General features: G+C 38.9%; 1 protein-coding gene across 10 annotated transcripts in view; it reads right to left on the bottom strand.

Annotated features, from left to right (window-relative positions):
* The window catches only part of DNAH8 (dynein axonemal heavy chain 8), a 315,482-nt gene that overhangs the window by 150,232 nt on the left and 150,117 nt on the right, over positions 1-15,133 (bottom strand). For 8 of the 10 annotated variants that reach the window (XR_926078.3, NM_001206927.2, XM_011514318.3 and 5 more), the window contains 8 exons: positions 13,884-13,970; positions 13,685-13,792; positions 12,365-12,499; positions 9,999-10,160; positions 7,779-8,025; positions 7,414-7,655; positions 7,185-7,325; positions 4,733-4,970 (listed from right to left, as the gene is read on the bottom strand). Coding sequence is in view for 9 of the 10 variants with exons in the window: in NM_001206927.2 (NP_001193856.1) it covers positions 4,733-4,970; positions 7,185-7,325; positions 7,414-7,655; positions 7,779-8,025; positions 9,999-10,160; positions 12,365-12,499; positions 13,685-13,792; positions 13,884-13,970 (1,360 nt within the window). In the remaining variant the exon portion in view is untranslated. The remainder of the gene's footprint in view (positions 1-4,732; positions 4,971-7,184; positions 7,326-7,413; positions 7,656-7,778; positions 8,026-9,998; positions 10,161-12,364; positions 12,500-13,684; positions 13,793-13,883; positions 13,971-15,133) is intronic. The other 2 variants (XM_011514319.3, XM_047418259.1) reach the window with 2 other exon arrangements.

The raw sequence follows: 15,133 nt of genomic DNA, 5'->3' as shown, positions 1-15,133 counted from the left end.
ATAAATTTTTTTTATCAGATATATATGTTTCAAATAGTTCTTTACAGTCTGTGGCTGGGTTTTTCATTTTCTTAATAGTGACTTTTAAACAGCAAAAGAGATTTTTCCCCCCATCGCACTGGCTAGATTTTGCTATTTCAAATAGCAAAATAATCTTTAAATAATGTTTAAATAAGATCTGTCCCCTTATTTGGGCCTTCTATAGCTTCTCTCAGCGCAGTTTTACAGTTTTAGTATACAGATCTTACACGTATTTTATTAAATTTATTCCTAAGTATTCTTTTTTTGGATTCTATTTTTGTTTGTGTGTTTTTAAGACAGAGTCTCACTCTGTCTCCCAGGCCGGAGTGCAGTGGCACAATCTCAGCTCACTGCAACCTCCGCCTCCCAGATTCAAGCTATTCTCATGCCTCAGCCTCCTGAGTAGCTGTGCTTACGGGCATATACCACAACACCTGGCTAATTTTTTTGTTTTTTTTTAGTAGATACGGGGTTTCACCATGTTGGCCAGGCTGGTCTTGAACTCCTGACCTCAGGTGAGCTGCCCCACTCGGCCTCCCAAAGGGCTGGGATTACAGGTGTGAAGGTGTGAGCCCCTGCACCCAGCCTTGCGTTCTATTTTAACTGGTATTCTTAAAATTCAATTTTCAACTGTTTGTTGTGAGCATATAGAAATATAACTTATCAAATGTATGGCCCTTTTGTCCTGTGACCTTGCTAAAATCCTTTAGTAGTTCTAATAACTTTTTGAAGATTCCACAGATGGTCATGTCATCTGCAAATAAAGAGAATTTTACTTGTTCTTTTCTAATCTATAGACATTTGATTTGCCCCCCACTGCACTGGCTAGAACCTCTAGTACAATGTTGAATAGAAATGAAATTGAATAGAGGTGAGAAAGACGTCCTTGTTGTGTTCTTGATATTGGGAAGGAAGTATTTAGTTGTTTACCATTCCGTATAACGTTAGCTGTAGGTATTTTGTAGATGTTGTCAGATGATAAAGTTCCTATTTCATCACAAAAGAGTGTCAAATTTTGCCAAATGCTTTTCTTCATTCATTTAGATGACTGTTTATGGCTTGCTTAGTTTTTAGTCTTATATGGCAGATTATATTGATCAGTTTTTGAATGTTGATCTTCCATTTCTAGAATAAAAGCCACAGTTGGACTTTTGTATACTATTGGATTTGTTATAATTTTATTAAGAAATTTTCGTCAATGTTCCTGAGGAATATTGGTCTATAGTTTTTTTTGTTTTTGTTTTTTTCTTGGAATGTCTTTCTCTGGTTTTGGCATGAGCATAACACTGTCCTTATGAAATGGGCTGGGAAGTGTTTCTTCCTATTGTACATTTTATATCTTTTGGAAGAGTTTGTGTACAGTTGGTATTATTTCTTCCTTAAATATTTAGTCGAATTCACCAATAAAATCATCTTGGCCTGGTGTTTTTCTTTGTGGGAAGGTTTTTAACTACAAATTCAATTTCTTTAGTAGATATAGGGCTATTTAGGATATCTATTTCTTCTTTTTAAATTTTATTGTAAATTGACAATTTACAATTGTATATATTTATGGGGAACAAAATGTTATGGTTTATGGATACAATATGGAATTATTACAAGCGAATTAACGTATCATGTGGAATTATTACAAGCGAATTAACATATCTATCACCTCAAATGCTTATCATTTTTTTGTGTTGAAAATATTTGAAATTTACTCTCTTAGCAATTTTGAAATGTACAACACAGTTATTAACTATATTCAGCATGCTGTGCAATATCTAGTTCTTCTTGATGATGGCTGGTAGTTTATATCTTTCAAGAAATTTGTCCATTTCATCTTCATTGTCAAATGTGTTCTTGCAAAGTTGTTTCTAATATACTCACGTCATGTTTCTAATGTTTGTGAGGACTGTAGTGATGTTCTCTCTTTCATCCTTGACTATGGTAATGTATGTCTTCTCTTTTGTTCTGATGTCTCTAATAAGAGATTTATTCTTTTTATTGATCTTTTCAGATCCATCTTTTTGTTTCATTGATTTTTTTCTGTTGCTGTTCTATTTTTTGTTTCATTGATTTCTGCTTTGATCATGGTTCTTTCTTCTGCTTACTTTGGGTTTAATTTGCTTTTCTTTTCCTAACTTATTAAGGAAGAAGTTGAAATCATTGTTTTGAGACCTTTCTTCTTTTCTAGTAAAGACATAAAGTGCTGTAAAGTCTCCCTATCGAGAATTGTTATATGACCCAGAATATCTTGGTAAGTGTTTTCCGTGCACTGGAAAAAAATGTATATTCTGCTGTTTTGGGCTGAAGCATTCTATAATTTTGAATTCAGGGTATTGATAGTGTTGTTAAAGTCTTCCATATATTTACTAATTTTGTCTATTTGTTCTATCAATTATTCAAAATATTGACACCTTTAGTATAACTGTGGATTTGTCTTTCTGTTTCTGTTGTTCTCTGACACTTCCTCCTTGTGCAGATTTCTCCTCTCTGGTGCTCTGCCCTGCAAATTCCAGCCACCTTGGCCTCTCCCAAATCAACCTCTGCCTTCTCATTTGGTGAGACAGCCAATTCTATTTGATCTTCCCCTCCCTGAGCTGCTTCTAGAAACTGCATCCATGCAATAAACTAATGCAATCACCTTGTTTCACTTCCCTCGGTGATTTCAGTCCAGTAGTGCCTATTGTCCAATCTCTGAAAAAAAACCGTCTTACACATTTTGTCCAGTTTTCTATATTTTTAATATAAGAGGTTAAACCCAGTCCCCATTACTCCATCTTCGCTGGAAGCATAAGTCTCCTTACTTCATTTTAAATCTATGAATGAAGTCTTCTCCAAAGATGTTAATGTCCATAAAAAAATTAAAAGGATGGATGAAGAATGAGTTAAGAAAGGGCTGGCTAGAAGTCAGCTGAGTGGACATGTTAGGGCCCTAAATAACCACTAAGTGCATAATATCTTAGTTCATTTCGTGGCCACAAAGGCTCGGGCAAATAAATTTCGTCAAAAGTAGTTACTTAGGATGGCAAGACTGAATGCCTGCAACCCCTCAATATTTTAGTCAACAGACCACTTCAGGACCACCTTGAAGAAGGAATATGAGTCTAGATTGTTGTCAACCTTTTGTTAACATCTCCATTAAAAATAAGAAAACATCATTGTCTAAACTTACAGAACCAGTCCTAGCTACTTGGAAGAAAATGTCACAAACATCACTGGACTGCTCTTTAAGAAATGTGGCAATACATATTTTTGATGGCACAGAGGAAGGTAATTATTTTATTGGCTTCCTTATTAGATGCCATCTCAATCCCCTAACCAAGGCTCTGCCATGGTTGGAAAATTGCTGCTGATGAATTTCACTCTCTGAGTAACTTGGGGCCCGGCCTCTGAATAAGGACAAGGCACTCAGAGGGAGGCAATCTGAACCTTTAAACATCATAGAACTCCGGCTGCTCAGAAAGCAGCGCTGTGGAGGAGCTTGGCTCTGGATTCTAAGGGAGTGCATATCTAGATTTAAAGATTCCTTTGTTAGTTTGCATTTTGAGTTAGAGTGCCCTTTTGCCATCTCAAACCTTTAGCAGCATCTAACACATGTAATACAATTATTGGCCTTTCTGGTTAAAGATGGCCCACTGAAAAAATTTATTTATCTCAGTCCCTTTCAAACACAAATTTCCACTTAATCCCCAGTTTTGGTATGATTCTCCCACTCTTAAATGTGCCTGGTGTCCCCAAGTCTAGGAAACCCTCTATTTTACACGATTCAAACAGTAACTCTTTAGTCTTGCCAGTGTGGGGAAGGCCGATTGTCTGGCAGCAGGGCTTTGGAAAGCGGCCCAGGAGGTCTTTTTCTCAAACAGACTTATAACCAGCCCTGTGGTTTTTAGCTCAACTTTTGCCCCAGTTTCCACTTCCTGAGCCCTTTGAATGTCCTGTGACGTGCGCTTCTCAATTACTTCTCAGCTCTTCCCACTGCCAGTGTGCTAAATCGACTGCCGCTTACCTTACTGCTTTCTTGCTTTCAAAATTTGGCTATTGCTGTCTACTCTCCTGCTCCAGTTGTCCTTCAGTTTATTCATTAAAACAAACAAACAAAAGACTATTGCTGTTTTTGAGTTTTTAGGAAGAACCAGAGGTAATTAGAGTTTTTAGGAAGCATATTTTTCCTCTTTGGAACTTTGAAGAATCAGGGCCTGGGCTCTGGATGAAAGCACCAAGTTCAAAGGCATTTCTTTTAAGGAGCAGTGAGCTGGGCCCGGCCATACATGGAAGGCTGGGGGGCTAAGGTGACAGCGCTGGACCTTGAGGAATCTGCTACGTTCATTCTCTACTCATTCTGGCATTCCCAACAGGGGAATTGTGGGGCTGATCCGTTATGTGTATTAGCATGCTTTGCATCATGAAGAATCTGTGTTCTCCACGCTGCTACCTTTCCTATTCCAGCATTAGAAAGTAGATGTTGTACAAGGTATTACTAACTTATTTATGCCAGATTTTACTGAGCCCACTCCAAAAGGAGAAGTCAAGAGTCTCAATATCAGTTTCGGGCACAATTCATATGCAAAATTCCACTCTCTTTCAAATACATGCTCTTTTCAAAATGGTATTAACAATTATGTTTTCATAATTGTTTTAATATTCTCTCATAGAAGAGTTTATGAAAGCTTATATTTTCTCATTTGAAAAAAGTCATTTCATTTAAGGTATAGTTCAGTGGGCTTACCATAATCAGTAACATAAAACTCATACATGGTTTGATTTGAGCCTTTAGGTATTTCTGGTAAGTCCAACTTGCTTTCATGCTGCCGTAAGAAGGCTTCAAGCTTTTCTCTGCTTTCTAATTCCAGAAGGGCTCCTAAACTCCACATTAGGCCAAACACAAATAATTTATGAAGATGTTCGACACAGGAAACACCGCCTTCTTCTTTGGAGGGAATTAACCCTTCCAGAAGATTGAGAGACTGAAAATGTTTCAAATAAAATAAATTTTTAAATTAAAATTTTGAAAATAAAAAATTGTAAATAATAGTAAAATTAAAAGGAGGAAGGAAGAGAGAAGAAAAATAGATATATCTCAAGCTATTGCTTGATCACCGTCCTACAGCCAACAGCACGTAGAAGAAAGGCTATCCTGTTTTAGACAGGCAGCATGGTCTAGCAGAAAGGATGCTGAACTGAAAATCTGCTCCTGTGGTTTCAACCCTCAGCTCATCCCACTGACCTCTCTGAGTCTCAATTTCCTACTGGGAAAGCAAAAGGCCTAGACTCGATGTAAGCAGCTAAGGTAGCTACTGGTTCTAAAGTTAAGTTATCTAAATTTTCCAGATCAAAGATTCTATTTCTTTGTAAAATTTTGCAGGACTTAGCAAACTGTGGCCCTAGAGGCTGGCCACCTGTTTGGTAAATAAAGTTTTACTGGAACACACACACAGTCACACTCATTCACCTATGCATTGTCTCTAGCTGCTTTTGTGCTACAACAGCAAAGCTGAGTGGTTGAGACAGAGAGTTGTGCAAAGCCTAAAATATTTATTAATACTACCTGGCCCTTTAAGAAAAAGTGTGCCAATGCCCTATAGCATCAGAAAGACAAGTACAGTAGGACATCCTCGGTCTTTCAAAACAAAATTACTTCAAAATAAAATATTGTCTTCTATGATCCATTTTAAAGTAATTACTAAATAATTCACTGATTTCGGCCTTATATATTGTTTCTAACCTACCCACAAATGACTGACTCTCTTAACTGAGAATTGAAGCTCTAGAATGTGTAAGGAGAGATCACCTATAGATCAGAATTAGGAGAGCCCTTGAAGATCTATGATTAATTCTGTTTTAACTCAAAGACTAATAAGGAAAACCGAGTAGGAAATAAAGAATGCTGGCTGGGCATGGTGGCTCATGCCTGCAATCCTAGCACTTTAGGAGGCTGAGGCAGGAGGACTGCTTGAGTCCAGGAGCCTAGACCAGCCTGGGCAACATACAGAGACCCTGTCTCTATAAAAAATCTAAAAATTAGCTGGGCATGGTGGTGTGTGCCTGTAGCCCCAACAACTTCAAAGGCTAAGGCAGGAGGACAGCTCGAGCCCAGGACTTCAAGGTTGCAGTGAGTTATGATTGATTGCACCACTACACTCCAGCCTGGGCAACAGGCAAGACCTTGTTGAAAGAAAAGAAAGAAAAGGAAAGAAAAGAAAGGAAAAGAAAAGAAGAGAGAGAGAGGGAGGGAAGGGAAGGGAAGGGGAGGGGAGGGGAGGGGAGGGGAGGGGAGGGGAGGGAAGGGGAGGGAAGGGAAGGGAAGGGAAGGGGAGGGAGGGGAGAAAGAGAGAGCGAGAGAGAAAGAAAGAAAGAGAGAAAGAAAGAGAGAGAGAAAGAAAGAAAGAGAGAAGGAGGAAGGAAGGAAGGAGAAAGAGAAAGAAAGAAAGAGAGAAGGAGGAAGGAAGGAAGGAGAAAGAGAAAGAAAGAAAGAAAGAAAGAAAGAAAAAGAAAGAAAGAAAGAAAGAAAGAAAGAAAAGAAAAGAAAAAGGGAAAGAAAGAGGAAAGGAAGGAAGAAAGGGAAAAAACAATGCTACAACTACTTGTCAGATAATTTTTATTTAAAGATTTTCCTTACCTGTTATATGCTAAATTTCCAAAGCCAAAATTGCCTCCCAAGTTTTCTTGATTGCAACAGGCCCCTTTCTGTTCTTTCCCACGAAGCTACCAACTTTATTTATTTTTATTTACTTATTTATTTATTTTGAGACAGGGTCTCACTCTGTCGCCCCAGCTGGAGTGCAGGGGTGTGTGTGTGTGTGTGTGTGTGTGTGTGTGTGTGTGTGTGTAGGTGTATGTGTTATTTTTTATTTATTTTAAAATTTAATTAATTACTATATTTTATTGACTGTCATTATTATACACACTTTATGGGACAGGTCACTAAACCTGACAATGGGAAAGATAGTTCATTCCCCTTCCTCTGACAACATCCCTCTGGGAAGTGAAAATAATAGAGAAAACAGTAAGATCATTAAGAAGATCTTTAATAGAAATCAAAATTATCAGAGCTTTTACAGCCACATCATCAAATGATTTTTATGGACTGTCTGAACTTTCTATTTCAGATGGCTGTAAACTGCAACTGAGTGAAAAAAAAATCAAAATCGAAGTAGTAAATGTACAAAAAAAAATCTTACTTGCACAATATAGTTGCACTCCAAGAGCTGCATTTTGGGATTGAGATTTAGCTTCATATATGTGTATGTATCTTCAAAGACTTTCTCATACAGTGTCAGGAATACAGCAGCTTCCTGTGCAGTGCGTTTCTTCAACCATGCCTGCAACAAAGAAACAGAATCTGTGTTTATTGAGAAAGTGAAACGTGGAGAGACTCTGAGGGTTCTTCTTCCCATCTCTCTGCCCCACCTGTAAGATTGGCCTCCAGCTGAGAGCAGAGCTGCTGATATAGACCATGCCCATCCTAGAAACCGTGGCAGGAGAGGCGTTCTCGATATTGTGGACTTCAAACAGAAGCTTACAACTAGGGGCCATGGGAATGCGATCTCCATTAGCTAACGTCAGAGTTTTATTGTCATCCAAAACGGAATTTAAGTTCTCAATCCAGATGGCATCCACAGGACCATCTAAAATGAGGAAAATGTTTTCACCTGAAAATAATTAAAACAGAAAATCACTTTTCACTTGCAAGTAATTAAAATGGAAAAATCAAAAAAATACTGTGTTAATACGCTAGCAGGGAAAAAATGATCACAAAGGAGGTTTGTGTATACCTTTTTTAGCTTTTAATGTTTTTCTCCACAGAGTAGAAAAAATCCCATCTGTCCAGTCATTGGTAGCAGTGTCCAGTCTGCCAAACATCTGAGGTGCAGTAATGGCTTTTGGATTCATTCGCATTTCTCTATGAGGCCTTCCGCATTCTGTTTGCGCCTTCATTAGAATCGTGATAACGGTTGTCTTTCCAGAACCACTGGGCCCAAGAGTCATCAAGCCATGCCGTACCAAAGACGTCTCATATAACTACACAATTAACCAGTAAATTAAAATATGTAATTTATGAGTCTCTTGCTGACATTCATAGTAGCTACTTGAAGATTAAAGGCTTTAATAAGCTCTTCATTAACGTAACTAGTTCACTATTTTTAAGTTGTAAAAAATGTTGTTTTACTAGATGTGCATAGCAAATGAGCACCACGTTATAAAACGATATGTGCTAAAGTAATAACAATGTGGAGCTTGAATTACATTTTGGAAATAATTAACTCAGCATCTAGTTTTTGCTTCTTGCGTGATGATTCCCTGTGATTTTGGCTTGTTGGTCTATAACCAGCAGTTGTTCCATGCGCAAACTTTCTCGGCATCCAATGTGATGATATCGCCCCTTAGTGGTGGAAAGCAGCAACGCAGAGCATCACAGTGAAGATCCGTTTCAAAGGGGCCTTCTAATTCCCCAGAAGTACATCATGAATGAGGATTCCTGTGCAAGTGATTTATTCAGGTAGTGCTCCCAGGAGAAACCAGTAAGAGAAGAGGAAAGCAGGACAGGAATGGGAAGAAGCCAAGCAAGGTGTGATTGAGGACAAAGCCCTGTAGAGGACAGACTTGAGCCTGATCCCTCGGGAGACTGGAGTGTAACTTACACCTCAAAGATTGCTCCACCTGGAACCAGGCAAGCTTGACTTTCCTACTCCATCAACTCTTAGAGACGTTTGTTTGGGGGTGGATGGGAAATAAACTCCCGTGCAGCACCTACTCTTTGTGCCTGCCAACAAAATGGCTCCAGGCCTCCTTTTGCTATTAGAAGCGAAAACACACAGAAGCTGGGCAGGGGCACGTGGAAATGGTACAAGAGATTCGAGGAGACATGCTAGGATCATGGACAGCCGCTGCTATAACATCCCGTCTGCAGTTTTCTCATTAAAAAAATTAAGAAGTCAAAGGTCTGACAGCTGATCAGAGGGAGAGTGAGTTATTCTCCTAACATTTTGGACAGAAATGTATTACCATTGTAAACTATAGTTTAAAAGCAACAGAGGCACTGTTCCTGACATGTTCAAGAGCAATGTTATTGACATCAACAAAGAACCCAAAATTCTAGTCGCCACCCATTGAGATGGCAAGAATTTTAAAACTCAGTATACTGTATGCATATCATATATAAAATCATGTTTTCCCAGAAATTTTTTAAACTCTTAAAATGGTTTCCAGTACATGAATGATGAAAAAGACTTTTCCCCCATGCACATATTTCTTTGTAAGATTTGGATGTATCTCAGATACTTGCACATCTTATAATCTGGCAAGAACAGTAAGTTAAAATAAGAATCGTTATATTAATATTTCAAATGCAGTTTTCAACAATGTCCACAATTTCAGCTCCTTAATTTTCCAAAAGCTCTGGAAAATATTCCCAAAGCATCAAGCTCATAGAGATTTAATCCTGTGTCTCTGCTACAAGTTCTTGATTCTACTGGTAATCCAATCAAGTGGTTAGATGGTTGTCACAAGGATGAAATGTGATGAACAGAAAGACACCAACATATGCAGTCAAAAGATTCAGGTTTTAGTGTAGGTGAAGGATATAACATGTCCACACACAAAGCAGGAGCAAAATAGCACTCCCAGATTCCTCAGGCTCTGCACTCCACTGAGGCACCCAGCTGCAGCCAGTACTATCAGATTGGCACAAGAAGACATCTGCGTTGTTCCGTTCCCCTAGAGTTTTTATAACCTACTATTTCCGCCCAACATTGTCACCAGGTATAAGTAAAAACTGCAGTAAATTACTGCTTGATTACTGTGAGGCAGGGTAAATCCATACTATCTTCCTAGGACCACCACATCCTTCCAAGTATTCTTTTTGCAATGATGTATATATGATGTTTTCATTTAACATTTACATCAAGTAAGACTAACTATGAGTTTTTCTATTCAGACAGGAATGTTTAACACATACTTATCATTATACTAATAATAGATTAAAATGTCTTTACCTGCACGAGTTTCAGGTTCCAGGGTGGATGGTTAATCAAACCCTCTATCTGAACCTGATGGGCTACTGCGTTTTGCAGTTCTGCATAAGTATTACTATCCAGTTGCAGTCCTGGGAACAGGTCATTGATTAAGCTGAGGAACAGGGGTTCATCTTCATCAACCTAAGGTGGCATAGTTTAAAATAAATTTACTCATTCAGTCAACAAACATTTATCAGCTAGCTGGGATGTGCATAGTACTTATCACTTCATCCCCAGAGAACCATTTATTACTCTCCTAATCAGGCTTGTATTCTCTAGTACTTTCTCCAGAATATCACTGATATGGTTTGGCTGTGTCCCTACCCAAATCTCATCTGGAATCGTAGCTCCCATAACTCCCACGTGTCGTGGGAGGGACCCAGTGAGAGGTAATTGTATCATGGGGGCAAGTCTTTCCCTGCTGTTCTTATGATAGTGAATAAGTCTCACAAGATCTGATGGTTTTGTAAACGGGAGTTCCCTTGCACATGCTCTCTTGCCTGCCGCCATGTAAAGACGTGACTTTGCTCCTCATTCACCTCCCAGCATGATTGTGAGGCCTCCCCAGCCATGTGGAACTGTGAGTTCATCAAACCTCTTTCCTTTATAAATTGTCTTTATTAACAGTGTGAGAACAGACTAATACAATCACCACTGAATCTATATTGTACCCAAAGTTCGTTAGCATTCAATGTGTTCTACAATCCTGCCCCAGTCTACTGCTCCAAAGTACGACCTCATTACTTTATCACATGAATCTTTGCTTCTCACAGTGGCATTTGCATTAACCTTAAAAATGATAATTTGTAGTCCCAACCCCATGAAATTAAAGAACGGATATTTTATTTAAATTGGGGAAATAGCCATAACCCTGCATGACTTCATCCAACAATGGCTGCAAAAGTCCATCAGGGCAGTGTTCTGAGCCTTTCTTATAAGCAGTAGGTTTGAGTACACTGACTCCAATCCTTGCTTGCAATGTCTTTAATGCATAGATTGCCCTGTTCCCAACATCTGACCCCTTATGATTTCTCTTTATTCTCTAGGGCTTTGCTGATGCTTTCTTGAGTACTTGTCTAGGAATTTCCAAAATACCATTATCTAAGGGAGGCTTAGACTGCACTCCAGCCTGGGTGACTTAGGGAGTCTAAGCCTCCATTACAGTCCATGTTGGTCATACAGGCAGTGAGGTATACTGGCAGGAGCAGTGGATTTGGCACCAGAAAATCTTATAAATTTTTGTCCCCTCTTCTCAGCTGATGGTGATTATGGGGGAATCCTGCAACCTCTAGTCTCCATTCCCCAATAAGTGAAGTGACAATAAACAAGCTAGCCATCCAGACCCCACAGAGTTGCTGTGAGGCTCAAATAAGACGATACACCTGAAAAGACTTTGTAACACTAATGAACTCCACAGATGTTAGTTTTTGTAACTAGAATGTAGCTTCCTGAACCACTTCTTCTTCAACTTTGTACACCCATGGCATGGGCACAATATGTGGCATGTAGAAATCCTTATATGTCACATGAACCTGTCCATCAGCTATTCAAAACAACCTGGCTGGGCTGGGCTGGGCTTGGTGGCTTATGCCTGTAATCCCAGCACTTTGGGAGGCTGAGGTGGGGTGGATCACTTGAGTCCAGGAGTTTGAGACCAGCCTGGGTGACATGGCAAAACCCTATCTCTACAAAACAGTACAAAAATTAGCCAGGCATGGTGGTGTGTGCCAGTAGTCCCAGCTACTCAGGAGGCTGGGGCAGGGAAATAGCTTGAGCCTGGAATGAGGAGGTTGCAGTGAGCCAAGATTGCACCACTGCACTCCAGCCTGGGTGACTGAGAGTCTGTTTCAAAGAAAAAAAAAAAAATCAGGCTGTAACCATGACAAGCATGAAAGCAGCATGCTCTCCACAGCAAATTTTCAATGTGTTTTTGGAAAATAGAAATGATGTTTATGTTTTGGGAGAGATATATCTGAGATAAGCTAGTCACATACAGAGAAAGCAAAAAGTTCTCATGGTTCCCTGTGAATCCAGATTCTTATGCTGAGAATTTGTGTCACTTTGTGAATAATGGTAGACAACTAGGTTGAGTCTTGGAGCTGAAGCCCACTGATGACCTGTTTCACTGCACACAGCTGATAAAAGGAGGCACTTATAGTCCATGTTGGTCACACAGGTCATGGGGTCTTTTGCTTTCTTCTGGAAGCACAGTGGTAGCTTTGCACACTTATTATCCCTGTAATTATGGGTGCTCACAGCTCAACATCAGCCTACCTCTACTTGTCCACCAAATAGAAAGAAACAATATTAAAATTGTGGAAAAGAAGAGAATTCAGAGAAGATACCAGTTTGGAAAGGTTCATATCTCTTAGTCCTCTCATGACAATGCTTAATTCACTATCTTCTGGTCTGGCTCTTTTTTGAGATCCAAGAGTCCTCAATACAGACAGAATATTTCTCAATCCAAAGTCATAATGAACCTGAGATGGGAGAAGAGGGCAAAAAGATGGTTTAATTGAAAAACTAAACATAGACTCACGGCTCACTCTATGCATATAGGTCGATTCTGATACTTATATGGGATAGTTTTGGGGTGACTAAGCCACAAAGGTTTATTAGCTCAACTTCCTGCCTTTCCTTTGACTGAAATATGATCATTCCATGGGAAAATCCAAGCTGCAAGATCAAGTAAGTATTCACACCTTAAATATCTTTTGAGAATAATATAGTCTGATACAGTCTGAGCAACAAACAATAGTTTCTTTTTTGTTTTTTTTTTTTTTTTTTTTGAGATGGAGTCTCACTCTGTCATCCAGGCTGAAGTGCAGTGGCGGGACCTCGGCTCACTGCAACCACCACCTCCCGGGTTCAAGCAATTCTCCTGCCTCAGCCTCCCCAGTAGCTGGGATTATAGGCGCGTGCCACCACGCCTGGCTAATTTTTTTTTTTTTTTGTATTTTTAGTAGAGACAGGGTTTCACCATGTTAGCCAGGATGGTCTCGATCTCCCGACCTCATGATCCACTCGCCTCGGCCTCCCAGAATGCTGGGATTACAGACGTGAGCCACGGCACCCGGCCCAAACAATAGATTTTTAAATGCATAACCAAGAGGTTACATACTATGTGATTCCGTTTACATAACATTCTTGCAATAAAATTCTAGACATGGAGAAAAGGTTAATGGGTTAGGGATTTGGGAGAGAGGTGGGTGTGGCTATAAAGTAGCATGAGGGAACCTTGTGGTGATGGAACAGAGCCGTATCTTACATATTCCATACAACTACACACACACACACACACACACACACATATACACACACCAGTGCATGTATAACTGATGAAACCTTAAACTCTGTGGACTGCTTCAGTGTCCATTTCCAGTTTTGTTATTGCGCTACAGTTACAAGATGTCAACCACCAGGCAAGGCAGGGTGAAGGGTACATGCCTCCCTGTACATTCCTTTGCAACTTCCTGTGAATCTACAATTATTTCAAAATAAAAGGGTCTTAAAAATACACAACCAATAGGTAAAATTAATTCTAAAAGCATTTTAGAAAAGAGTCAATGAGATTTTAACTCACTGATGAGTATTTATCAAGGGAAAATTACAAAGCAAAAAAACCAAATACTATTGCTAGGAGGAAAGCAGATCTATAAAGTTACCTGTTTAGTAAGTTGCTCTTCACAGAGTTTGTAAAGAACGTAAAATTTTTGAGCCAAGATAACATTTTCAAGAAAACCACAGCTTGCAAGTTTAACTCTCATAATGATCTGAAAATTAATATAGTGAGTTTTTTTCAACTTTAGTGAAAAACAAGTAAAGAACATAAAGCACATTATGCTTTTAAATCCTAGTGCATACCTGTCTATCAGGAACCATCATAGCAACAGTTCTAAACTGGATTTTTAGGTTTTCTGGTAGTTCCTGGCGCCCAGCATATCCAGGGTTCTAAAAGTTAAAATATGTTTAATTTTTAATTGCTAAAACAATTTTCATTTCTGAATACAAATATATTTCAAACCCCTAATTCAGATTTTAAGATGGTATTGAAAATATTAGATTCATAAAATACTCTTGTTTTCTCAAAACAATATGTATTAGACCATGTATATTAATATTTATATGCCCTTTTATATATTTCCATTTTCATGATATTAATAAAGTCACACACAATTTTGTGTGGCAAAATTGTCTACTGACTTAAAAAATAGAAAATTGTGTCTGCTGGCTTAAAAATAGAAAAGAACGTGAAATAATACAAGAGAAAACTGAATAGATACCTGATAATTATGGTCTAAAGTATGTTATTGAAAGAAGAAAAAAACTAAGGATTTTATACTGATGAGCTTCCTTGGGCATTTTTTTTATTCCATCTCTTCAATTATTCTTTGCAGCCACAGTTACAGAGCTCTTTGGCTAACAAAAACCCATGGAAGTGAGGAGAAATAAAGATGGCAGTGAGGGGAAATAAAGAAGGGAATGATGGGAAAAACACTGAAATGGACAAAAGTAGAGACAGACAGGAAATGAAGTCCTCCTAAGAAGCAACAGGTTGAACAGAGGTCAGACCCAAGTCTCAAAGGAAGGTTGGAGATTCAAAGACAAGTAAGGCCAACAGGAATGAGTTATTTTAGGCAAGTTTGTTAAAAACCTTCAGTCCCTGACCATTTACTGGGCACTGTCAATAGGCCAGGTACCTTGCTAGGGGCTGGAAATACAGAAATTGAGGCTGCCTCTCAATACTCCTCTTAACCTTCCTGAGCCACAGGAGCCCACCTGCAAGCTGGGTACAGCAACACCTAGATTAAAAACTACATTTCCCAGCCTGCCTTGCAGCTGCTGTGATTATATTCTACACTGCGAGATGCAAAGGGGCACACTGTACTAAATATCCTTGATGTTTTTTTGAAGAGAGTTGACTCAGTCAATTGGCTGCAACACAATAGAGATGCTTTCTGTAGCATCTTGGTTCATAAGGTGACCTTGAAGATGGAATTCATGATGGAGTAGAACCATAAAAGGATCTTAAGAGAATCCTTACATGTTAAACTACAATTTTTTTTAGGTTTCAGTTACTCACAGCTTAATGCAATATCTAATTGCTATTTCCA

This window comes from Homo sapiens, chromosome 6, assembly GCF_000001405.40.
Source record: "Homo sapiens chromosome 6, GRCh38.p14 Primary Assembly".
In the NCBI taxonomy this organism is placed as follows: Eukaryota; Metazoa; Chordata; class Mammalia; order Primates; family Hominidae; genus Homo; species Homo sapiens.
Note: the sequence above shows the minus strand (reverse complement) of the source record. Positions and strands in the feature narration are given on the sequence as shown.